This window comes from Homo sapiens, chromosome 2 (assembly GCF_000001405.40).
Source record: "Homo sapiens chromosome 2, GRCh38.p14 Primary Assembly".
NCBI lineage: Eukaryota > Metazoa > Chordata > Mammalia > Primates > Hominidae > Homo > Homo sapiens.
In genome coordinates, this window is record NC_000002.12 from 87117148 (window position 1) to 87145055 (window position 27908).

A 27908-nucleotide genomic window follows, 5' to 3' on the forward strand; every position below is an offset into this window, starting at 1 on the left:
CTGTATTTTAATTATAAAACATTTTAATGTGGAACACATGAGACCTAGGATACAGAATGTAGCAATCAAGTTGTACAACAAATAATCAAACCTCTAATTATGAAAGCTACAGTGGTTCCTGAAATCTAAAAGCAAAAGTCACAGGATGGTTTATTTAACAATAGAATTTATTATATTTTATATCTTCTTCAAAGCTTACTTTGTTTTTCCTCTTATAGGAAATCCTTTTTACCTACATAGAAAAGTTACGTTATTGGAATTTACATCCCTCCTCCATAAGAAAAAAGACATCTTCTCTTCCAAATGTCCACCATGCTAATTTTATCTCTTTCTTATTATATTTAACTTTAAAAATCTTGATCATTATAATTGCTGTGGGTCGTATATTCACTGTGAATATTCTGTGAGAGATGACAGTTTTATTCTTAATAACCTGCATATTAAGAATCGCCATGCCTTTTTCATGGTTAGTGTTCAATCCACATGTTAAAAGAATGAAAAATGCATTACTGAATTATCTTATATTACCCTTTTTTGCAGAATCATTCTTTGTAGTGTTAGTGAAATATGCCGAATATTAAAATAGGAACCAAACTTTTTATAAAATGCTGCCTCTGCTGTCTCACAATGCCTAATGCTACCTCTAAACGATAGTTATTATTCTTTTCTGTCATATAAAGAAACATAGTCATGCCAATTGGTTTTTTGCCACTATATATCCAGTGGGAATCACACAGAGAATCAATTCATTACAATGATAAATTACACCATTAAATAGTATATTATGCCAGAATAATCTAGAAGGTCATGAAAGAAAGATTAAGAGATGACAAGAGAATCTACAATGTGTAAGAAAGTGCATGATACATGAAAAAATAGGTTTTGGTTTGATATCTACCAAATATGTTAAATGAATATATAACCCTGTAAAAATTGAAAAATTACATACTTGTAAAATCAGAATAAAACTTGAGATACTCATCTTTTGTATAACTTACATGAAATTGTACCAAGTGATGACTTTTTAAATACAGTTCTAGTTATTTCATATTTCTACTCAAGTAATGTGGTTTGCTCCATAGGAGTTATTTGAAAATAAACCTCTTTTCAAATGCTCAAATCTATTATTGTTCTGTCAGTTGTGCAACTCATAAATACTCTTTCCTATTCTCTTCAAAACACAGAAGTAATATTAAAATCAGTGGGAAATATTCTTAGACAAGTCATTGATACAAAATATTAAACATATATAAAAAGTAAACTTTAATATTCACCATGTATGTTATTATTTTATATTCAATTTTATAATTTGTTAACACACAAAAGTATTATGTCCTGACCATATCACACTATCACCGCGGGAGGAAGGGTGAGTGGGTAGAAATACCTGTTATTGGTTTTTAAGTAGATCATAGCCAAAGCTAGAGTAGCACCTGGACAAGTCACATCCACATTTATGGTATCTCCTTCCTATTGAAAGAAGAGTTTATGCATGTAAAAGAGTTCTAAATTATTATAAAATTCCTCTGAATAATAACTATGCTTAAAATTAACACATTTACCAATGTCAGTATGAACACTAGTATTTTCCAATTAACTTCCCAGCTTCCAGACTTTTGATCTATTACTTTGCTGTGTACTTACTTTGATTTGATAACTTGGTGATTTATGTTTCTCCCTATGCATTCCTGTTTGAAAGCGCCTACGTCCTCCAACCATGTACTGATAGAGCTGCTCAGGCACATTGAGATCAGACATACCTATCAAATTGCTGCCATGCTGGAAAAGACAATAACAGACGAGTGAAAAGAAATTTTATGAAGGAAGATCCACAACACATACCCATAACAAATATAAAAATGAACTAACTTCAAAGCAGGTTATTTTGGGTTTTGTTTTTTTTATTTCCAATTTAAAGCAAACATTAATCATGAGTTAATAAATATTAATAATTCTCATAAAAGTTTTAATACATGAATGTTCAACTTTAAGTACTGTCTTAAAATACATAAGAGCTTTAGAGTTAGTGACATTTAACAATAAAGAAAAATATTAGTTATATAATTGAAACTGGAACTGTAAATACCTGAATACTGTCATTATTGTACTTAAGAACTTTTCCAACAATAACTATGATAATAATAGTAATTTATTAAATGCATGCTCTGTGTCAGGCACTATTCTGTGTGTTTAACATGAATGAACAGCCATATCAAATAGCTACTATTAAAACCCTATTTTATAAATAAGGAAAGTGTGGCACAGAGGGATTAAGCCCAAGGTTATACAGCTATTATAGTTAAGTTGCAGGGCTATATATAAAACACGGCCATCTGGCTCAACAATCCATGAAGCTGATTAAGCAATACACAATAATGTAGTTAAATGACTTGACTCACTAGTTAGGACCAGAATTCAAGTTGCAATTCCCTGTGTGATTCTTTTCTTTTTTTTTTTTTTTTTTGAGACGGAGTCTCGCCTTCTTGCCCAGGCTGGAGTGCAGTGGCACGATCTCGACTCTCTGCAAGCTCCGCCTCCTGGGTTCACACCATTCTCCTGCCTCAGCATCCTGAGTAGCTGGGACTACAAGCACCCACCACCATGCCCAGCTAATTTTTTTGTATTTTTAGTAGAGACGGGGTTTCACCGTGTTAGCCAGGATGGTCTGGATCTCCTGACCTCGTGATCCGCCCATCTCAGCCTCCCAAAGTGCTGGGATTACAGGCATGAGCCACCACACCCAGCTGATTATTTTCCATTATACCACCAGCCTCTTTAGCTCACGTGCCAATGTGAATTCAAGGCCCTAACAGATGGTCAACCACAAGGTGGATTTTCAGAACACACATGAAAAAAATTCCTTCCACTATAACTTTTTTTTTTTTTAAGATGGAGTCTCACTCTTGTTGCCCAGGCTGGAGTGCAATGGTGTGATCTCGATTCACCACAACCTCCGCCTCCTGGGTTCAAGCGATTGTCCTGCCTCAGCCTCCCGAGTAGCTGGGATTACAGGCATGCGCCACCACACCTGGCTAATTTTGTATTTTTAGTAGAGATGGGGTTTCTCCATGTTGGTCAGGTTGGTCTTGAACCCCCAATCTCAGGTGATCCGATCACCTCGGCCTTATAACTTTCTTTATATCATTTAGTTTGACCATAAGAATGTATTGGTGGTTTTTCAAGGGGAACCACATTTCAAGTGAAACAATCATTTAATGAAACATTTCTGGTAATTCTGTACACATCTCTTGGATGGAGTTAAAGATGGGTCAATCTGATACTGCATTTTGTCACAAGGAAGATGCTACTGGGACAACATTCTGGGATACACAGTGAACATCACTATGGCAAAAGGGGGTTAGGGTTTGTTTCAAGCAGCTACTATAGACTCTTAAGGCTCCCGATCATATACGTTTTCACTATTCTCTGTTTTCAGTCATAGTGGGCTGTCACTTATTCATTCTATGTCTTGAACGCTTTAAAAAAAAAAAACTTTATTCCCTTCAGTTTGTTCATGAACACTGCAAGCTGGAGGAAAAGAAATCTTAAAGTCCCACTCTTGACCACAGTTTCTCTCAATTTGCAAATCTGGTACTTTGAAAAATATCCAAAAAGACAATAGAGCTGGGCAGCAGATTAAGTCATAGTAAGGGACAATATTCAGGTTTAGGTGTCAACGTTATTTGTCTCAACATGTAGATGTCCTAACTGAAGCATGGGAAGGCATAGGCTATGCTTACCCCCAAGCAGACCATGCCCAGGGCCAAGCCAGCAGCTAAGGAGTATGACTCTCTGTCAGTGCAGTATTCCATTTCAGGACCAGGAGGCCGTCCTGTAAAAACAAAAGCAACACAGTTCAAACTAGCTTCTCAAAATCTCATCTCATAAAAATCTTAGAGTTAACTTTCTAGCAAGTTGCACTGGAGATACGAATGGGATATAACTATTCAGAAAGTTATGACACTATAATAAATGGTGTCCACAACTGTAGGTTTACCTACCAAAAAAAAAGGGCCCAAAATAGTTCTTTTTAAATTGCCAATTTAAGTCTTTATAAGCAATGATATTCAAATACTGTGAAACTTTGAGTCTTACCAAAAAAATTACCAAGTAGTAGAAAAAAATTTTAAAGGGAAAAAGGTAAGAGTATTCAAAAAAAAAGTTTTATTTTTTTGTTAAAACATCTGGGCCGGGTGTGCTGGCTCATGCCTGTAATCCCAGCATTTTGGGAGGCCGAGGCAGGTGGATCACTTGACGTCAGGAGTTGGAGACCAGATGGCCAACATGGTGAAACCCTGTCTCTACTAAAAATACAAAAACTAGCCAGGGTGCCAGGTGCCTGTAATATCAGCTACTGGGGAGGCTGAGGCAGGAAAATCGCTTGAACCTGGGAGGCAGAGGTTGCAGTGAGCCAAAATCAGGTCGCTGCACTCCAGCCTGGGTGACAGAGTGAGACACCATCTCAGCAACAACAACAACGAAATATCTTACATTTTGTTTTCATTACTTTCAAATCCACACATCACATGTGGTGAAACATGTTCGAATGATGATAATGAATAAGGAGGTCACTTACTTATGTTGTTAAGCTGTTAAATATTATGTTTAGACATTTATTTCGAGTGTATATAATAATGAGCCCTACTATGGTAGAATTTCTGTGTACTGATCCTAGAAGTCTGACTGGATACAAAATTCACACTTTTAAAAGCACCCTATAACTCTAACACTACCTTGTTGAAAACGATAAAATGTACTATGTATTAAAACCCTTCCCTCTGAAAAAATGTTCACATTCCTGAAATTTTATCCCTATAGGAAAAAAATGCAATTTAAAAAAAAAGAAAAAAGGCTGGACGTGCTGGCCCTTGCCTGTAATCCCAGCACTTTGGGAGGCCAAGGCAGGAGGATCACTTGAGGTCAACGAGTTCGAGACCAGCCTGTCCGACATGGAGAAATCCCATCTCTACTAAAACTACAAAAATTAGCCAGGCATGCTGACAGACACCCGTAATCCCAGCTACTTGGTAGGCTGAGGCAGGAGAATTGCTTGAACCTGGGAGGCAGAGGCTGCAGTGAACCGAGATCGCCCCACTCCACTCCAGCCTGGGTGACAGAGCGAGACTCTGTCTCTAAATAAATAAATAAATAATAAAAATTAAAGAAAAAAATCACACAAAGGTAATCAGTGTAATGTTTATATATAACAACAAAGGATTATTAGAAACAATCTAAAAAGTTCTAAAAGTTAAAAAAAGGCATTTTACAGACCATCGACTCAATGAATATTACACAAAATTTGTTTTAAAACCCATTTATAACAATGATCTATAAAAACAATTTTTAGGCGGGGCACAGTGGTTCATGCCTGCAATCCCAGCACTTTGGGAGGCTGAGACAGGCAGATCACAAGGTCAGGAGATCCAGACTATCCTGGCTAACACCATGAAACCCTGTCTCTACTAAAAATACACAATAATTAGCCAGGCGTAGTGGCGGGCGCCTGTAGTCCCAGCTACTCGGAAGGCTGAGGCAGGAGAATGACGTGAACCCGGGAGGCGGAGCTTGCAATGAGCCAAGATTGCACCACTGTACTCCAGGCTGGGCAGCAGAGCAAGACTCTCTCAAAAAAAAAAAATTTTTTTAATGTACATTCTGACAGTAATTATATAAAAAGGCATATACATATGAATTAAAGATGAAATCTTCTATATACAGTGTGAAAGAGGTATGCCGCAGCTGTGAGACTGTGCAATGACACCATTAGACATCATCATGATATAGCCAAAGAAGGGTAGACTACTTTGCAGATGAACATGCTTTAACAACCAGTGTTGAATATTTTCAGAATAAGCGTTTTTCAGATCTCTGACTTATGCTACCATGTATTGTGATAGCCAAAACATTTCAACTTTGGGAATAATTTCATTTATCATTATAGTAGACTAAATTATGGGTCCCAATCTTCACTGGTTCTCTCCTAGGTTTCTATCAACACCACGAGAGAAACACACCCTCCAGCCTGGGTCCCAGAATGAGGCAGGTGAGGCAGAACGGCAGCAGAACAGCCGGCTACACATCTACAGCCTAAAGCAGAGCTGCCTGGGCCAATGCTATACCTACAACTATCTGATCTTTGACAAACCTGAGAAAAACAAGCAATGGGGAAAGGATTCCCTATTTAATAAATGGTGCTGGGAAAACTGGCTAGCCATATGTAGAAAGCTGAAACTGGATCCCTTCCTTACACCTTATACAAAAATCAATTCAAGATGGATTAAAGATTTAAACGTTAGACCTAAAACCATAAAAACCCTAGAAGAAAACCTAGGCATTACCATTCAGGACAGGCGTGGGCAAGGACTTCATGTCCAAAACACCAAAAGCAATGGCAACAAAAGCCAAAATTGACAAATGGGATCTAATTAAACTAAAGAGCTTCTGCACAGCAAAAGAAACTACCATCAGAGTGAACAGGCAACCTACAACATGGGAGAAAATTTTCGCAACCTACTCATCTGACAAAGGGCTAATATCCAGAATCAACAATGAACTCAAACAAATTTACAAGAAAAAAACAAACAACCCCATCAAAAAGTGGGCAAAGGACATGAACAGACACTTCTCAAAAGAAGACATTTATGCAGCCAAAAAACACATGAAAAAATGCTCATCATCACTGGCCATCAGAGAAATGCAAATCAAAACCACTATGAGATATCATCTCACACCAGTTAGAATGGCAATCATTAAAAAGTCAGGAAACAACAGGTGCTGGAGAGGATGTGGAGAAATAGGAACACTTTTACACTGTTGGTGGGACTGTAAACTAGTTCAACCATTGTGGAAGTCAGTGTGGCGATTCCTCAGGGATCTAGAACTAGAAATACCATTTGACCCAGCCATCCCATTACTGGGTATATACCCAAAGGACTATAAATCATGCTGCTATAAAGACACATGCACACGTATGTTTATTGCGGCATTATTCACAATAGCAAAGACTTGGAACCAACCCAAAAGTCCAACAATGATAGACTGGATTAAGAAAATGTGGCACATATACACCATGGAATACTATGCAGCCATAAAAAATGATGAGTTCATGTCCTTTGTAGGGACATGGATGAAATTGGAAACCATCATTCTCAGTAAACTATCGCAAGGACAAAAAACCAAACACCGCATATTCTCACTCATAGGTGGGAATTGAACAATGAGATCGCATGGACACAGGAAGGGGAATATCACACTCTGGGGACTGTGGTGGGGAGGGGGGAGGGGGGAGGGATAGCATTGGGAGATATACCTAATGCTAGATGACGAGTTAGTGGGTGCAGCGCACCAGCATGGCACATGTATGCATATGTAACTAACCTGCACAATGTGCACATGTACCCTAAAACTTAAAGTATAATTAAAAAAAAAAAATTTCAAAAAAAAAAAATTTTGTCTATAAAACAGGTAACAATTTGAATGAAGAAAACAAAAATTTAATGAATGGCATAAAAATAAATTTCAAGAAAATGAAAGGTGTGTATGATGACTTAATTAAAAGAATGTAAAGGAAAAAAAAAAAAAAAGATTTTCCAGAGTAGCTACTTGTCTCTGCCATAGAATTGTTAGATAGTTTACTGTAGGTGGACTGTAAATAAATGTTTGCTTAGTTCTAACATTTGACTGATATTGGGTTGATCCTTTGAGACTTGGTATATTGTGGATATGCCTAAAGTTTCTTTTTCTACCAAAGATGTGTTGTAATCTATGTCATTACAGAAGTAGGAGAGGGAAGGAAACTACCATTAAAATCAGTACTTAGGAGCCCAGGCACTGTTCTAGATGTTTGCATATATTAATATGATTTCATTTCATCTTTACAGTAACCTAGAAGAAAGATATTTAAATAATGACTTTCCAGATCAAAAAATGAGTTTTGATGGCTTTTCTCAGTTTTCATAATTGGCAGAACTGATTTCCGAATCCTTTAAGTTGATCAGTTGACAGGAATGCATTTATGATTTTTATCTTTTCTTTTGGGGTTACCTTTCAGTTTGACTTTGAAGGATCACTTTCCCCTGTCATTGCGCCCAAAAAAGCAAGGCCTTCTGAGACTGGATCTGATGATGTAAGCATTATTATTTCTTGCTAATATAAATTAATTTATGGATATTCATACTATTCTTCCACTTCTGTGGTATTCCTATCAATTCCTCTATCTTTCCAACACCTTTCACTTTATTTATTTTAATACTGAATAGCAATTATTTTGAAGAGTAGGATCTGTTACATTTTCTATGGTCTTTAATGATTATCCAAAAATTAATGTATGTATTACTGCATGATTTCAGTTTGGGTTTGTAGACATTTTATTATCAACTGATCACCTGAAATGACAGCATTTACCTTTTTTATGCAGTGTTTTTTAAATTAAGGTTCTCAATCGTATCAGGTTCCATGGTATATTCCTTTTTTTTTTTTTTTTTTTTGAGACGGAGTATCGCTCTTGTTGCCCGGGATGGAGTGCAGTGGCACGATCTGAGCTCACTGCAATCTCCGCCTCCCAGGTTCAAGCAGTTCTGTCTCAGCCTCCTGAATAGCTGGGATTACAGGCGCCCGCCACCATGCCTGGCTAATTTTTGTAGTTTTGGTAGAGACAGGGTTTCACCATGTTGGCCAGGCTGGTCTCGAACTCCTGACCTCAAGTGACCTTCCTGACCTTGGCGTCCCAAAGTGCTGGGATTACAGGCATGAGCCACTGCACCTGGCCTCCATGGTATTATTCTTAAGTGGTCCAAATATGTTTTTTTAAATTGTGGTGTAATTTACAAAAATGAAATACATCTTGAGTTTACAGTTTGATCAGTTTTAATATATGCACACTCATGTAACCTACACTCCTATAAAGACACAGAATATTTTTATAACTCCGTAAAATTTCCCCGTGCGGTTTTTTTTTTTTTTTTTGAGACGGAGTCTTGCCTTATTGCCCAGGCTGGAGTGCAGTGGCACGATGTCGGCTCTTCACCTCCTGGGTTGAAGCTATTCTCCTGCCTCAACCTCCTGAATAGCTGGGATTATAGGCATGCGCCACCACGCCTGGCCAATTTTTGTATTTTTAGTAGAGATAGGGTTTCACCATGTTGGTCAGGCTGGTCTTGAACTCCTGACCTCGTGATCTGCCCACCTCGGCCTCCCAAAGTTCTGGGATTACAGGCATGAGCCACTGGGCCTGGCCCCTCTTGCTGTTTTTAATCAGCTTTATTCTCTTCTTCTAGCAATCACTGATCTGAATTCTGTCACCATATCTTAGTTATGCCTGTTCTAGAACTTGATGTAAATAAAATAATATAGTATGTAATCTTTGGTATAAGATTTATTCAGCATAATGCTTTTGAGATTCATTCATGTTGTTACAGATACCCGTAGTTTGTGCTTTTTTATTGCTGAGTAGTATGAATATACCATAGTTTGTTTATCCATCCTTCTTCTGCTGGTAGATATCTAGGCTATTTCCATTTTTTTTTTAAGTCTTATGAATAAAGCAAGCTACTGCCAAAATTCACTGGCAAGTCTTTGTGGATATATATTTTCTTTTTTTGGGGGGGGGGAGGACAGAGTCTTGCTGTGTCATCCAGGCTGGAATGCAGTGGCACGATCTCGGCTCACTGCAACCTCTGACTCCTGAGTTCAGGCAGTTCTCATGCCTCAGCCTCCCCAGTAGCTAGAATTACAGGTATGCGCCACCATGCCTGGCTAATTTTTGTATTTTCAGTAGAGACTGGATTTTGCCATGTTGGCCAGCCTGGTCTCAAACTCCTGGCCTCAATAATCCACCCATGTTGGCCTCCCAAAGTGCTGAGATTACAGGTGTGAGCCACCATGCCTGGCCCGTGGACATACATTTTCATTTCTTTTTTTTTTTTTTTTTTTAAGAGACAGGGTGTCACTCTTTTGCCTACGCTGGACTGCAGTGATGCTATCGTGGTTGACTGTAATCTCGAACTCCTAGGCTCAAGCCATCCTCCTACCTCAGCCTCCAAGTGGCTAGGACTACCGGTATGCTCCATCATGCCTGGCTAATTTTTAAGTAAGACCAGTTGTCTACCAAAAAAATTTGAAAATTAGCCAGGCATGATGGCACATAACCTGTAGTCCTAGCTACTTGGAGGCTGAGTTTGGAGGATGTTAAACACTCTTTCATGTGCTCATTAGCTGCTTATGTATCTTTTTGTGAAGTTTCTGTTCAAATCTTTATCAACTTGTAAATTAGATTTTAAAAAATATGTAAGCTGGTGAAGTTCTTACATGTTCTAGACATGAATTCTTGACCATATTTTCCCTTAGAATGTGGCTTTAACAGTGTCTTTGATGAGCAGAATTTTTTATTTTAGTTATCCAATATATCAGTTTTTTATTTTATTTTATTTTATTTTTGAGATGGAGTCTCGCTCTGTTGCCCAGGCTGGAGTGCAGTGGCATGATCTCAGCTCACTGCAAGCTCCGCCTCCCAGGTTCATGCCATTCTCCTGCCTAAGCCTCCCCAATAGCTGGGACTAACAGGTGCCCGCCACCACACCCAGCTAATTTTTTTGTATTTTTTTTAGAAGAGATGGGGTTCCACCGTGTTAGCCAGGATGGTCTCGATCTCCTGACCTCGTGATCCACCCGCCTCGGCATCCCAAAGTGCTGGGATTACAGGCATGAGCCAGTGCACCCGGCCCAGTTTTTTCTTTTATGGTTAGTTCTTTCTGTATCTAGTCCAATAATTTTTAATTTAGAATAACACACTGTATTAAGCCTTATAAAAACACCAGTAAATTCCAAGATCTGGAAATAGCATAAACCACATTCTCTGAACCAAATGCAGTAAATCACAAGTAGAACCAAAATAGACTGAACATTTGGAAAATGTAGTCCAATCAGTCTGAATATAAAAATCAGTTGATTATTAGATTATATTAGTAGCCCTGGCATCTTATACATGTGGAAAGATGAATACACCAGATGAATGCAGGTGGACCTTCCTTCTTACCAAAACACAGTTCAGTGTAGTGGCCACTAACTTGCCATCTACTTTTCCTATAAAACCTAGCCTGAGATAATCTTAAATTTTCTCTCTCAATCTCTACCTAAATAGTATAATTCTTCTCCCAATGTCTTTCCTAAAAGGGCATGAAAAGATTTTTTTTAATGGTTTTTAAAGGTGGCTTGCCTTAACGTTTATAACTGGCTTGCTATTTTATAGTTACTTCATTCTTAGCATTGTCTTTTTTTTAACATACTCTTAGATCAACTTAATGTGAAAATGAAACTTGAATTGTTTTAAGTGAATTAATTTTCTTATGATATTATAAGGAGGTATTATTTTTAAAAATTAATATTCTTTTTATTCTTCTCAGGACTGGGAATATTTACTAAATTCAGACTACCACCAGAGTGTTGAGTCTCATCTTTTGAACAGATCTTTATGTCTGAGTCCTTCAGAAGCTTCACAGATGAAGGATGAGGATTTTTCACAGAATCTCAGTCTGGATTCTTCTACACTTCTCTTTACTCACATACCTGCAATTTTTTTTGTTCTTCACCTTGTGTATGAGGAGCTTAAGTTGAATACTCTAATGGGAGAAGGAATTTGTTCACTCGTTGAACTTCTCGTTCAGTTGGCAAGGTAAATTTGTTTGTAGGTTAGAAACTGCCAGGAAGTCCTGAGATGACTGTCTTTTCCATGATATCATATAGGGACCTTGTAAATACGTTTCTGAAATCTGCCTTCTCAGAAAACTAGGACATCTCTGTAAACCACAGAGTTGTTTGAAGATACTGGTTTTGTAAGGGCCTGTGAGCCATGCAGGGATTTTTAGTCTTTGTCCTGAGATTAGTGGAAGGTCACGAAAAAATGGAGATGACCTGCTCAGATTTTCATTTTGACAGGATGACTGACTGACTATACTGTGGTGGGAGTTCTAGAATAACATCTGCTGTTTTGTAATATCCACATTCAAATAGTGCTTTATAGTTGACAAAATCATAGTTTACATATAAAGTCTCAAACAAGGTAAGTTTCCTATTTTAGTGATGAGGAAACTTGCCTAAATTTGTTTCCTGGGATATGAGTGTTTGATAGTTGTGGACTCATTTTGCTATGCTATCCTTGTTGCAGTCTGAGGTTGTCCCTGTCTTTGAGGCACTCATAGTAGATCCACAATAAGATAGTTCTAATAATACGTTTCAACACCTTTCAAGAGCTTTGAAGCACCTTGTGTATGGCTCAGAATTCTAGGGTCATACTTGTGTGTTGTTTGACCTTTATGACCTTTGGTGATAAAGAAGTTGAATTTGAATTGAAATGTCAGCCTCTGAGTTAAGACATAGTACATTTTCTAATTTCTGTTGTCTTTTTTGAGATCTTGAAATTCAATCCTGAGACATGGCAGTTTTAATCAATGGTAAATATCTCTTAGGATGTCATTACTATCATCAAAATTATTTTGTAATTAAATAATTTCCAAACCATAATCATGGCTGTCTGAAATAAGTAATGTGTATGATGTTTTACATTTTATCAGGTTTTTTTTTTTTTTACATATTTTATCTTATTTACTCTTTAAAACTTCAGAGTAAGTGAGCTGATATTGCCCCATTTCCTAGAAGAAAATACTGAGGTTTATAGACATGACTTATGGAAGATCACACAGCTAATGAATAGCAGAGGAGGAACTAGATCATGGTGCTTTTACTGTAGTTTTACTTCCACAAAATTTAGCAAAAAGAGGTTGGGTTCCATTTGTCACACTGGGCACTTTAAAGTCCAAAAATACAATAGAGAGACTCTAGATTTGGTTATCTTTCTCATAAGTAAGTTTTTAAATTTAAAGATTCAACTAATTAATCCTTCCAATTCTGTTGGGAGAAAGTGCTGTAATACCTTCTTTTTTGCATGCCCTTACTGTTTTAGGGACTTAAAATTGGGGCCTTATGTAGATCATTACTATAGAGACTACCCAACGCTTGTCAGAACTACTGGACAAGTGTGCACAATTGATCCAGGTAAGTAGTCGTGCTTTTAAATATTTTCTAAACAGTGTAGTGATATTTCCTTGTATCTTTCTCAATGAATAGCAGAGGATGTATTTCTTACCATTAGCTTCTAAGTCAGGGGCAATGCCTTTCCACCAGGCAGATTTTAGTTCGTAGTGCTTGTTTTCTGACACGTAGTAAGCCATAATATCTTCAGTGTATAGGGAAAATTTTACCCATCCCTAAGGTTCTGACTTGCAAAAGTCAGAGAAAGAGCTTCCAGTGTCAAGGATGCTTTTTTTTTTTGAGACGGAGTCTTGCTCTGTCACCCAGGCTGGGGTGCAGTGGCGCGATCTCGGCTCACTGCAAACTCTGCCTCCTGGGTTCACGCCATTCTCCTGCCTCAGCCTCCTGAGTAGCTGGGACTACAGGTGCCCGCCACCACGCCTGGCTAATTTTTCTGTATTTTTATTAGAGACGAGGTTTAATCGTGTTACATAGGATGGTCTTGATCTCCTGACCTCATGATCCACCCACCTCGGCCTCCCAAAGTGCTGGGATTACGGCGTGAGCCACTGCGCCAGGCCACCAACTTAGACTTGTAGAGTACAGTTAGTACCACTAACCATATGCTACTTAAATTCAATTAAAATAAAACATATATTTCCTCAGTGTACTAGCCGCATTTTGAGAACTCAGTAGCCACATGGGGCTAGTGCTACCATATTGGACAGTGCAGATACAGACACAGAACATTTCCATCACTACTGTACTGTCCTAGACCCTGAGCTAAAGGTACTGAAATTTGGGGCCCAGTTGTTGGAACAGAGCTGAATCCTGGATGTTTCTTTTGTTTTTTTCACCTTTAGGGTTAGGGCAAAATTTTTGGTTAGATTCTTCTTCTTCTTTTTTTTTTTTTTTTTTTTTTTTTGAGACAGGGTCTCACTCTGTCACCCAGACGGGAGTGCAGTGGTACGATCTTGGCTCACTGCATCCTCTGCCTTCCAGGCTCAAGCGATTCTCCTGCCTCAGCCTCCCAAGTGCCTGGGATTGCCTGGGGTTATAGGTGTGTGCCACCACGCCTGGCTAATTTTTGTATTTTTAGTAGTGATGGGGTTTCACCATGTTGGCCAGGCTGGCCTTGAACTCCTGACCTCAAGTGATCCACCTGACTCAGCCTCCCAAGGGGCTGGGATTACAGGTGTTAGCCACCACATCCAGCCTTTGGTTAGATTCTTTATATGCCTTGGGAACAAGAATTTGCTAAATTTCCATCCAGGGTGGGATAAAATAGAAGTCATTTAAATTCTACATTTAATAACATAGTTCCTTATGTGCTGTGGCAGAAAACATGAAGCATTTTGGAGAATATGGAAAAACGTTATTCCTTTTTTTTTTTTTTTTTTTTTTTTGAGACAGAGTCTCGCTCTGTCTCTTAGGCATGATCTGGGCTCACTGCAACCTCCACCTCCCGGGTTCAAGTGATTCTTCTGCCTCAGTCTCCCAAGTAGGTGGGACTACGGGTGCGCACCACCAGGCCCAGCTAATTTTTTTCGTATTTTTAGTAGAGACGGGGTTTCACCATATTGGCCAGGCTGTTCTTTAACTCCTGACCTCGTGATCCACCTGCTTGGGCCTCCCAAAGTACTGGGGTTACAGGCGTGAGCCACTGCACCCAGCTGGAAAAATATTATTCTAGTTGTTTCAAAATGACAAGTAACTGTTGATCATCTTCCGTTTAAAATAAAATAATGTTGTCTTAATGTATTTTCGTGTCTTTTTGAATATTTATCTAATTTTAAAGGTCAAACAGGATTTATGCATCATCCATCATTTTTTACGTCTGAGCCACCAAGTATTTATCAGTGGGTGAGTTCTTGTCTGAAGGGCGAAGGAATGCCGCCTTATCCTTACCTCCCTGGAATCTGTGAAAGAAGCAGACTTGTAGTCTTGGTATGTATGTGGAGTGTTACTACCTATCTCCTTTTTCTTTTAAAATTTAGTTTTAAAAAGTACACCTAATATTAAGTTTTTCTTTCTGTGTATAGTTCTGTGAATTTCAGTACATGTATAGATTCATGTAATTACTACAATGAGGATATAGAACATTTACATCACCCTCAAAAATTTCTCTCATGATTTTGAGACTCATCCAAGTTGTTTCCTGTATCGACAGTTCATTGCATTCTATGGCTAATTAGTAGTTTATTGCATGAATGTGCCATAGTTGGTTTTTCATTCAAGATAATTGGGTTGATTTCAGTTGTTAGCAATTGTAAATATAGATGCTGTCAGCATTCATGCTTAGCGTTTTATGTGAACATAAGTTTTGCTTTCTCTAGGACAGGTACCTAGGAGTAGGATTGATGGGTCATACAGTTAAGTTTATATTTTGTTTTTAAAGAAACTGTCATCTGTTTTCCAGAGTGGCTCTTCCATTTTACATTTTTACCAGCAATATTTAAGAGATCATTTACCTGCATTCTTGTTGGTATTTGGTATTGTCACTCTTTTTTATTTTTGTCTTTCTGAGAGATGTGTAGTTATACCTCATTGTGGTTTTAATTTGCATTTTCCTAATGGCTAATGATGTTTTCAGCGTTCTAGGTATGAGGTTTTGTCAGATATGTGGTTTGCAGATATTTTCTTGTGGTTTCTACCTTGTCTTGTCTCGTCATTCTCTAAATACATCAAAGAACAAAAGTGTTTAATTTTGATGAAGCTAGTTTATCTGTATTTTTCTTTAATGGATATTGCTTTCAGTGTCATGTCTAATAATTCTTTGTTTAACTTCAGGTTTTGAAGATTTTCTCCTGGGTTTCTTTGCATGTTTTACATTTAGATCTCTAATCCATTTTGTTAATCTTTTATAACATGTCAGGTTTTAAGTCAAGGTTTTTATTATTTCATTTGGATATCCAGTTCTTTCAGCACTGTTTTTTGAAAAGACTATCCTTCCTCTATTGCATTTGCACTTTTGTCAAAAGTTAATTTGGCCACATTCTTGTGTGTCTGTTTCTGGACTTTCTATTCTGTTTCATTGATCTTTGTGGCTGTCTACGCTGTCATTACTGTAGCTTTATAGTAAGTCTTTAAAATTGATTAGCGTTACTCCTCCCTTCATTACTCTTCTTGCCTTTTCATATTGATTTTATTTTTATTTTTATTTTTGAGACAGAGTCTCACTCTGTTGCCTAGGCTAGAGTGCAGTGGAGTGATCTCAGCTCACTGCAACCTCCACCTTCTGGGTTCAGGCGATTCTCCTGCCTCAGCCTCCCAAATAGCTGGGATTACAGGATCCCACCACCACGCCCGGCTAATTTTTTGTATTTTTAGTAGAGACGGGATTTCACCATATTGGCCAGGCTGGTCTTGAACTTTCAACCTCAAGTGATCCGCCTGGCTCAGCCTCCCAAAGTGCTGGGATTACCGGTGTGAGCCACCGCGCCCGTCCCCTACTGATTTTATAATCCGCTTGTCTATAGCTACAAAGAAAAATCTTGCTGAAATTTTTTTCAAAGAAACACTTCTTTATTTATTTTTATTATTTTTTATTTACCTCTAGCTGCAAATCTCATGATTTATTTATTTTTAGAAATTAGTTTGTTATTACTGGTTAATACATGTCCAAGATCAAACCTTCATATAGAACCATAGGGCTGTAACGGTGAATGAGGTAAGTTTCTTGGCATACCTGTTCCTCAGTCCCCCCATCCTGGAGCAGCCTGCTCATAGGCCCCTTGTGGGCCTTTTCAGGTGGGGTCTTCCCAGGCTTGCAGGAGAACCATATGCTTTTGTCCCTTCTCTCAAATGTTGGCAGACTGCAAATGTCTTTTCCTCCTGCCCTTCTTTTTCTTTACTTTACGTTTTGCTCCGCTTCATGGTGAGAAGTGCTTCAGAGTCCCCCCATGGCTCCAAAACAGACATACAGAATGAAGATTCTGTTTAAAAAACACAGATTTTTTTAATGATAGCAAAATATATATAACATAATATTTGTCATTGAAATTGTTATTATTATTATTTCTTGAGATGGAGTCACTCTGTTGCCCAGGCTGGAGTGCAGTGGCACGATCTCGGCTCACTGCAACCTCCGCCACCTAGGTTCAAGCGATTCTCCTGCCTCAGCCTCCCGAGTAGCTGGGATTACAGGCATGAGTCACCAAGTCTGGCTAATTTTTGTATTTTTAGTAGAGATGGGGTTCACCATGTTGGCCAGGCTGGTCTTGAACTCCTGACATCAAGTGATCTGCCCACCTTGGCCTCCCAAAGTGCAGGGGTTACAGGCGTGAGCCACTGCGCCCGGCCTGAAGTTATTTTTGAGTGTACAATCCAGTGGCATTGAATACGTTCACATTGTTATGTTGCCATCACCACTGTCCGTACCCAAGACTTCTTCATCATCCCCAACATAAACTCTGTACCTATTAGAGTGACTCCCCATTCCCCTTCCTTCCAGGCCCTGGTAATTCCGTTCTCTTTCTTATGAATTTGTCTCTTGTAAGTACCTCATATTATGGGAATCAAGCAATATTTATCTCTGTGTCTGGCTTATTTCACTTAGCATAATGTTTCCAATGTTCACCCATATTGTAGCATGTATCAAAATTACATTGTTTTAAAGGCAGTATTCTATATAGTATTCCATTGTATGGATATACCACAATTTATCATTTCACCTGATGATGGACATTTGGGTTGTTTCCACCTTTTGACTGTGGAATAGTGCTGCTGTGAACCATGGGTATGCAAATATCTGTTCAAGTCTCTGCTTTCAGTTCTTTTTAATATATACCTGGTGGTGGAATTGTTGGGTCATATGGTAGGTAATTCGATGTTTAACTTTTTGAGAAACTGCTAAACTCATTTTCATAGTGGCTATACCATTTTACATCCTTATCAGCAATGCAAGAGGAAGGGTTCCAATTTCTCCACAGTCTTGCCAACACATATTATTATTTTCTATTTGTTTTTTTAAAAATTATAGCCATCCTAGTATTTATGAAGTGATATCTCATTGTTTTGATTTGCCTCCTTAATGATTAGTGATATTGAGCATATTTTCATGTGTTTATTGGCCATTTACGTATCTTCTTTGAAGAAATATCTATGCAGATCTTTTGTGTATTTGAAAATTGGATTTTTATTTTTGAGTTTAGGCATTTTTATGCTCTAGATATTAATGTGTCAGATACATGATTTGCAAATATTTTCTCCCATTCTATAGGTTTTTCTGTGAATGTCTTTTCAGTAAAACTGGCATGAGTGCTCAGTTTACCTCTCTGGCCTTTCATCTTAGTTTTATCCTCTTGGTATTCCTTTATAACTTGTCAGCTCAGAGATCTATTTATAAAAATATGAATTTATTTTTATTTATAAAAATATTCTGAAAAATATCAACAGAAGCCCTTATTGATAGGTTTTTGGTTTCGTCATTATAAGTTTTATTGGACTTTTTTTATTTTTTATTTTTTTTATTTGAGACAAGGTCTTACTCTGTCACCCAGGCTGGTGTGCAGTGGTGCAATCATGGCTCACTGCAGCCTCAACCTCCCGGGGCTCAAGCAGTCCTTCCACCTCAGCCTCCTGAGTAGCTGGGACCACAGGTGCACACCATCACACCCGGCTAATTTTTGTATTTTTAGTAGAGATGGGGTTTTGCCATGTTGCCCAGGTTGGTCTTGAACTCCTGACCGCAAGTGATAAATTTTTTTTATGTGATGTTAGCTAATGAGACATTTGTAGTAACCTTCTAGCTTATGGTGGCTCTTTTTCTATTGACTCACTTGTATATGCGGAGATGGCATTGTCTGTGTACCATTTGTTGAAATGAGGGAAAGGAAGGAAGTGAGATAACATTTATTGGGAGCCTGTTGTCTTCAAGGAACTTCATGTATGTTTTCTCATTTAATACAGAGATCTTATGTACTTTTGTGTTTGTGTTATATGTTGAATATTTTAACTCTTTTGAGAGACTTTTTCCTTGGTCTTATCTTTTTCTTTTCCTCCTCAAAGCAAATACCACTACAGCTCTGTACTACTAGATACTTCTTAGATAGTGAGAGAGCACTATTCGATACCTGTTGGAATGACTGAAAATAACTTTTGGTGAGGATATGGAGCAACCGAAACTCTCATACATTACTGGTGGGACTGCAAAAGTGGCACAGCACTTTGGAAAACTGTTTGGCAGTTTCTTGTGAAGTTAAACATACACTTATATAAGACAAATTCCAACTGCTTGGTATTTACTTAAGAGAAATGAAAACATATGCCTACATAAAGACCCGCATGTATGTGAATGTCTTTGGGGCCAGGCGCGGTGGCATAATCTCAGCACTTTGGGAGACCGAGGAGGGCGGATCACGAGGTCAGGAGATCGAGACCAACCTGGCCAACATGGTGAAACCCTGTCTCTACTAAAAATACAAAAATTAGCTGGGCGTGGTGGCGCATGCCTGTAATCCCAGCCACTCTGGAGGCTGAGGTGGGAGAATCGCTTGAACCCAGGAGGTGGAGGTTGCAGTGAGCCAAGATTGTGCCACTGCACTCCAGCCTGGCGACATAGCGAGACTCCGTCTCAAAAAAAATAAACAAATAAAAAATAAAGCAGCTTTGGTCATAGTGACCACAAACTGGAACCAAATGTTCATCAGTTTTTGAGTAGGTAAACAAAGTTTGGTATGTCTGTATAATGGAATACTACTCAGCATGAAAAGGAAGAAACTAGTGATCCTTGGAGAGACGTGAATGAATCTCAAAGACGTATGCTAAGTTAAAGAAGTAGCACGAAAAAGACTACATATCATATGATTCATTCACATGATATTGTAGGATAGACAAAACTGTAGAGCAAGAAAACAGATGAATTGTTTCCAGTGCTGGGTGTAGGAGGAAAGGATTGACTACAAAAGGAACGAGGGAACTTTTTGGTATGATGAAAGTATACTATATGTGAGTGTGGTAGTGGTTATGTGATATAACATTTGTCGAAACTCACAGAGCTGTACACCTAAAATGGACGAATTATTCTATGTTATAATTATTTTCTAGTTACACTTCAATTATGTAGCTAGGTGTGGTGGCTCATACCTATAATCCCAGCAGTTTGGGAGGCTGAGGCAGAAGGATTGCTCGAGGTCATGAGTTTGAGCCCAGCCTGGGCAACACAGCGAGACTCTGTCTTTACAAAAAATAAAAATAATATAAAAGAATTAGCTGGGCATGGTGGTGTGTGCTTGTAGTCCTAGCTACTCTGGAGACTGAAGCAGGAAGATTGCTTGAGCCAAGGAGTTTGAGGCTGCAGTGAGCTGTGATTGTGTCACTGCACTCCATCCTGGGTGACAAAGTGAGATGCTGTCTCTGGAAAGAGAAAAATAATGTTAATTTTCTTCTTTTGCAGAGTATTGCACTGTACATACTTGGTGATGAGAGCTCGGTTTCTGATGAATCCTCACAGTATTTAACCAGAATAACTGTAGGTAAGTTGGTGCAATGTTGCCTCTGGAAACAAATTTTTGTAGATGTCAGTATCAGAATTGAAAAAAGAATTGAATTTTTCTTGTTTGCTTTGGCGGCCATGTCTTACCTTTTTAGTACTGTTCTGGTCTGTTGCGGTCTGTTGTCCACAACTAATTTTCAGGTATCAGGATTACTTAAAATCTAATAAATCTTGTATTTTCAGTGCGGGTAAAAAGGACTATTTTAGCCTGAAGGAAATTATTGTACCATTGACTCTTGAACAACATGAGTTTGAGTTGTGTGGGTCCACTTACAATGAAATTCTTTTCAGCCAAATGCAGATAGAAAATGCAGTATTCTCTGATGTGAAATCCATATGCAGGTTCTGCAGGGCCAATTGCAGGACTTGAGCATGCAGGGATTTGGGTACACATCGGGTGTCCTAACCAATCCCCTGAGTATTCTGAGGGCCTTGACTGTACTTTTCAGCCTGCCACAGTATTGCTTATTTTATTATTTTTTTAGATGTTGTTTGCTAATGGATTCTTATTTTCAAATGTCTTCTACATGTTACATGTTTTCTTTACCAGGATGACTATCAAAATTAAGTTTCATTTTGTTGCCTTTTAGCCCCCCAGAAGTTGCAAGCAGAACAAGTGGAAAACAGGTGACTTTTATTTAGACTGTGCTTTTATGTCAGACACTTAAAACAATATTATTTACTGTTCTGCTTAATTACTTTATGTTTTATTCTCTTATAGGTTTAGTTTCAGGCATTCTACGTCTGTTTCTAGTCTAGCTGAAAGATTGGTTGGCTGGATGACTAATGTAGGTGAGAGCTTCTTTGTTACCTGCTAACTAGGCCGTGCTTCCTCCAGACTAGCTAGAAGTGGAAGGCATGAGGAGAGAGGGGCTCTGGCTTTGTGAAAAGGCCTCACAAGATTGAGATTATGGTTCATCAAGCCATATTCTTTTTTCTCGACAATCTCACAACTTTCATATAATAATATGTGGGATACCAGCTTTTTATCTTGGTGCATAAGGAATCTTTATTTGCCATTACATTGGAACATTTGAGGCTATGGCTATGTAAGCTGGTCTCTGAGAATGGAGAACTCTAATCACCCTACATATACACCTGAAATCATTGTGATACTCAGATATCAGAAATGGGTGGTTTTGGCAAAGTCTAAAAGCAATAATATAAACATTTCAGGGTATACTTTTGAAGGATAAATGCACTTTTGAAGGGATTTCAGGCACCAAGATGAACATTGAACTGGGAAGAGGAAGAGGAAGGAAAAGCGTTCTATATTCCCTATTCCCCAAACCTATGCTCCTAGGTTTTAAATTAAGTAAAATACCAAAGAAATTTTTTTTCACAAAGAACTGAAAAACAAAATTAAAAATTACTGCCACGAAGACATGATTTTAAAAATGAGGATATTATATGGGATGTATGTTAAAAAGTAAAGTTTTAATGAATATTAAAAGATGTTTTTGAAGTCTTATCTAAAGTATGTTCTAAATGAAGTTTCTGACAGGTTTTTTTTTTTTTTTTTTTGCATTTTACCTTAAAAATGACAATAACTGTTGCGTAGTATACATACAGGATACCTATGCTGAAAAATATTGGATTAGTTCTATCCATTTGTATATTGCATAATATTTAATAAGTGTTATTCTCATATAAGGAAACATTTTTTGCCTCAATAGTTAATCGACTTTTTATATTATAAATAATGCATAGTATTATAAAATTTAGAAAATCATGATAAGAAAAACATGATTTAATTAACCTGAGGATAAAAAAATTTAAATATGAAATATGGTATACTTACAAAATAATATGTCAAACGTATATGTTTAGTTTAGAGAATGGTACTAAAGTGAGTATTGATGTACTGGTCACCCACCCCTAGAAATAGAACATTACCCGCATAGTAGAAGGCCCTTACATATCTGTTCTTGGATGGTCCCCTCCTGTCACACACCCCAATGTTATAGTGAACCACTGCCCTACCTACATTTGTGTTACCTTACTCTTGTTTTTCTTTATAGTTTTACATCTTTATAAATTGCTAGGTTTTATGTAGTTTTGAAAATATATAGATGTAAATATATGTTCCTTTTTCTTCACTCAACTTTGTTTTTTAAAGATTCATCCATGTCGACTCACGTAGCAGTAGCAGTGGGTCATTCATTTTCTCTGATATAGAGATTACTTTGTTTGAACATATCACAATTTAATTACCCATTCTGTTAATGATAGACAATCGGACTTACCCCTTTCTCCATCTCTTTTTTTTTTTCCATAGCAAACCAGTATTGCTAATGAATATTTTTATACCTGTGTCTTGGTGTACCTGGGTGTAAGTTTCTATATGGCTGTTGATGGATCAAATGGGTGGACTGACCTATACATACCAACTGTTTTCCAAAGTGGTTGTACCAGTTTACACTACCATTGGCTATGGATAAGAATTATTGTTGCTCGGGCCGGGCACGGTGGCTCATGCCTGTAATCCCAGCACTTTGGGAGGCCAAGGCGGGTGGATCACGAGGTCAGGAGATCAAGACCATCCTGGCTAACACGGTGAAACCCTGTCTCTACTAAAAAAAAACTACAAAAAAAATTAGCCGGGCATGGTGGTGGGCGCCTGTAGTCCCAGCTACTCGGGAAGCTGAGGCAGGAGAATGGCGTGAACCCGGGAGGAGGAGCTTGCAGTGAGCCGAGATTACACCACTGCAGTCCATCCTGGGTGACAGAGCAAGACTCCATTTCAAAAAAAAAAAAAAAAGAATAAAAAGAATTATTATCGCTCTACATAGTTGCCAACACTTGGTATTGATTGGCTTTGACATTTACATTTCTCAGTGGCTTTAATTTGCATTTTCCTGATCACTAATTAGGTAGAGCATCTTTTCATATGCATATTGCCCATTTATGTTTCCCCTTCTAGGAAATGTCTTTTTGTCTTTTATATTTTTCTATTAGATTGTCTTTTTTTCTTCAGGTTTTTACAAGTTCTTTCAAAGAGACTTCCTATACTAGTCCCTGATGTTAAGACATTAGTCTGGTAGTAAGAGGAATAAAATGAATTTATTTGTCAGGATAGATATTGTTGCCAACTTCAGCTAGGATAATTGGGACAGTGGCAAGTCTAAATTAAAATGTTTCTCTCTTCCTTTAACCATTAGGATTCACTTTAAGAGATTTGGAAACTCTTCCCTTTGGAATTGCTCTTCCCATCAGAGATGCAATTTATCACTGTCGTGAGCAGCCTGCCTCAGACTGGCCAGAAGCTGTCTGTCTCTTGATTGGACGTCAGGATCTTTCCAAGCAGGCCTGCGAAGGAAACTTACCCAAAGGGAAGTCTGTGAGTATCAACATAGAAAGTTCAGAGTTCCAATTTTAGCCTTAAATAAAATCATAAAGTAGAAATGTTCTTCATTTTCCTTTAAGGCTTTTTCTAAGTATATATATTAGCTTGTCTTTTATATTATATGCCAGACGGGGTTTGTAATTGTATGCGTCTTATTAATTGTTAAGTTGAGCATAGGAGCAGGAGATTTTGTGAATGTTCTGTCTTGTGCCTGGATCTTTCTTTGCCTTGAATCAGGACAAGTCCTGAGTGTAGTCATGGAAACTACCATGGCTATTTCCCTACTTGTACCATATTAGTAATTAACCACTTCGTAATTATTACATAGGAAAAGGGAGAGCACATATATCCTGAATTTGGATGAGTAATTATATATAAATATTTTCTACTGCATATTTTTCGATGTGTTGAATTTTTTGAATTTAACCTTTTAAATAGGTGTAAACATATTTATTTAATCACATAAAACTGCAGCCCCAGGGAAAAAATGTGTTTTTTTAGTAGAGTTGTTTAAAAAGATGTCTTAAGCTATCCCTCCCGAAATACTGTCTTTCATCAATCATCAAGTCTGTTTTTTTTTTTAAATGAGTTCTAGGAATCCTGCAAGTAGAAAGTAAAATTATTTCATTACTCTCCAATTATCTTTTTATATCATCCTCTCTTAAAACTTGAAAATGAAACTTTTAAAACTTATTCTAGAATTCTAGGTAACTTTAAAAAATGAACAGTAGAATCTCATCAAGGAGGATTCAGGAATAATAATTCCACTCCTGGTGACTCTTTTATGTTCATGTCCCTGAGAAGACAGTGGGAATTTGGTCTTACCTCTTAGTAGCTTTTGAATCAATACATAATAATCAGTGCATTGTAACTATGAGTCACCTTAGGTCTTATTACTACTTCTTCAGAGCCTATATCAAAACTTATTCCTAACCTCAGAGTTGCCTAATGTGTACCCATGCCGGAGTCAGTTTCCATGGGCATCTGATCTCCAGCACGGTCATCCCAGCACGTCTCTCCTTTAATCTGCGCCTCAATCACAGCTCTTCGTTGAATTAGTATTTACATCCTGTTTTAAACAGAAAACAAATCTTTTTGCTTATAAAATGATTTTCCTGTGAGAGAGAGCAGTTCAGCACCATTAGCATTAAAATATTAATCTGTATTTGAATGTCATTTTAAGTAATTATGTCTAAATACAGTTTGTTCAGTTGAGGCTACATTTTATAACTAATCCCATCTAAATTTATTTTGTCACTGTTTGAGACTATGTTTTATAGCTAACTCACCCATTAGAATATAGTTTTTTTTTTTAAATTAGATATTTTATAGGAGCTAAAAATGAATTTTTAGGAACTAAAAGTGATTATTTGGTCGTATCTACTTTTTTTTCAGGCTGACCTTGTTGGTTTCACATTAAATGTTGCAAAACTTTAACATTTCAACTTGGAGTTATTCTTTTGTTAAAAGAGTATAATACTGTTTTTGAGAGAATATGATATGATTCCACGCAATTCACATCTGTGTTGCAGTTAGATTTAATTATTTGGACTGGGAAGCCCCATATTAAAGCACATGCTGGGCTTAGAACATGATGACAATCAAGGAATTTACCCTCTTACTTGTTTTGCTGTAGTTCAGTACTTTTCCTTCTAAGAAATTTTTATTGGAAACACATTTTTTAAAAATAGTGAAAACTGGCTGGGTGTGGTGGCACATGCCTGTAATCTCAGCACTTTGGGGTGGCCAAGGCGGAGGACTGCTTGAGCCCAGGAGTTTGAGACCAGCCTAGGCAACATAGTGAGACCTCATCTCTACTTAAACAATTTTTTAAAAAATTTAGCCAGGTGTGGTGGTATGTGCCTGTAGTCCTAGCTATTTGGGAGGCTGAGGTGGGTGGATCTCCTTGAGGTCAGGAGTTCAAGACCAGCCTGGTCAACAGGGCAAGACTCTGTCTCTACAAAAAATAAAAAAAATTATCTGGGTGGGCGGTGCACATATGTAGTCCCAGCTACTCGGGAGGCTAAGGTTGAAAGCCTGCTTGAGCCCAAGAGGTGGAGGTTGCAGGGAGCCAGGATCACACCACTGCACTCCAGCCTGAGTGACAGAGTAAGACCCTGTCTCAAAAAAAAAACAAAAAAAAACTTACTAATGGAATCCAACCATGATCCTGTCTATTTAAAGTAGTAAAGTAAAAGGTATTTCATTGTGTGACTTCCCCCAACCCTTGGGGTATATCCTTTCAGGCTTTTTTCCTTCTCCTTCTATTAATGAACAGACAATATTTAAATTAGCATTATTAGCAGTGACTAGTATTCATATTCTACTTGCAATAATTTTTTTTTAAGAAATGATCAGGATGTAGTTAGATTTTTTTTTATAGTTTATTCAGAATATTTCTCTGTTCGTATCCAGCCCCTTGACTGTTGCCCTAAATTTAAACTCTCCCCGTCATTTCCAAATATTTCCAAGTAGGCAATGTAGTACTTTTGTTTGTTTGTTTGTTTGGTTTGTTTGGTTGTTTGAGACAGAATCTCACTCTGTCACCCAGGCTGGAGTACAGTGGCACGATTTCGGCTCACTGCAACCTCTGCCTCCCGCATTCAAGTGATTCTCCAGCCTCAGCCTCCCCAGTAGCTGGGACTACAGGTGTGCACCACTGCGTCTGGCTAGGTAATTTTTGTATTTTTAGTAGAGACCGGGTTTCACCATGTTGGCCAGGCTGGTCTGGAACCCCTGGCCTCGGGTGATCCACCCACCTCGGCCTCCCAAAGTGCTGGGATTACAGAGTGTGAGCCACCACACCCAGCCAGCAATATAGTACTTTTTAGAAAGATTTGTAGATTAGAGTCCCAGTATACATTGCGGCCCCAACCCAGGCCTGCTTTGGAAAACATATTTTCTCTGTGCTAGTATAGTCATGACACATCAGCCTATATATCCTCATGTTCAGCAAATGCACGTTAACTGCTTTTGAAATTATTATTATAATAAATCTGTTACTCAGGTGCTCTCATCAGATGTTCCTTCAGGTACAGAAACTGAGGAGAAAGATGATGGCATGAATGACATGAATCACGAGGTCATGTCATTAATATGGAGTGAAGATTTAAGGGTGCAGGATGTGCGAAGGCTTCTTCAGAGTGCGCATCCTGTCCGTGTCAACGTAGTGCAGTACCCAGAGCTCAGTGACCACGAGTTCATCGAGGAAAAGGAAAACAGGTGAAAGAAAACACGTGTACTATCTCTTGTCACGTTTCATTGTTACATTTGTGTCTTGTTTATATTTGTTTTTCCTTCAAGTTTTTAGCATTTAAAACCCTAAAGAGATTTAAAAGATACTTTCAAGTGAAAATATGCCCTGTGTTTTAAGTTTTCATCCAACTTCAACAAACCACGTGTGTTAGCAAAATGTCTTTGGCTTTTGAGGACGTAATTGTTGTATTTCATACCGTCCTCCTCTTGAAATACATATAACAGTTTACTCTTTAGAAAAGGTGAATGTAAAACTATTTTGCCTGATAGTTACCTTAAGAATTTACAAACAAAGAAAACACTGGACTTGTTTTTCTGTGTCTTGATCAGGAATAGATTTTGAGGTTAGTGGGGTTTTTAGTGTAGTTTAAACTTATATCAGTATTTTTTTTTTGGATATGATAGATAATACTCCAAATAAAAATAGATAAGCCTTTCTTCTGCCACTCCCCTGCACAGGATACATCCCCTGATACATTGTAAGACTCACATGCCTGTGACATTCCAGAGCTATTCTCTTGGGACACTTCTATTTTAAAATTCTCTCCTGTTCTTTTATCTGCTTGTCTCTATCATCTATCATTCATCTGTCACTGTTTTCTAGTTCTCTTTACTTTTTTTATGGTACTGTTTTGAGGGGAACCGTCACCCACACTTAGCCACAGGCTGCTGAAGATCTGAATTAGTTGTGATTTCCCTATTAACTGTTTCCTCTCCACAAGTACCCAGTTATTAGTCACCTGTGAATAAAAAGATGGAGTGACAGAAGTTGAGTTTAGAGCATAGGAT

General features: G+C 37.9%; 2 pseudogenes across 1 annotated transcript in view; one reads left to right on the forward strand and one right to left on the reverse strand.

Annotated features, from left to right (window-relative positions):
• Positions 1388 to 3834, reverse strand: ANAPC1P3 (ANAPC1 pseudogene 3; annotated as a pseudogene).
• The window catches only part of LOC102724642 (anaphase-promoting complex subunit 1-like), a 71644-nt pseudogene continuing 51804 nt past the window's right edge, over positions 8069 to 27908 (forward strand). The window contains exons 1-9 of the transcript NR_171620.1: positions 8069 to 8125; positions 11400 to 11668; positions 12956 to 13047; positions 14822 to 14970; positions 20420 to 20498; positions 21109 to 21145; positions 21240 to 21310; positions 23680 to 23858; positions 26872 to 27086. The product of NR_171620.1 is annotated as an anaphase-promoting complex subunit 1-like (transcript). The remainder of the gene's footprint in view (positions 8126 to 11399; positions 11669 to 12955; positions 13048 to 14821; positions 14971 to 20419; positions 20499 to 21108; positions 21146 to 21239; positions 21311 to 23679; positions 23859 to 26871; positions 27087 to 27908) is intronic.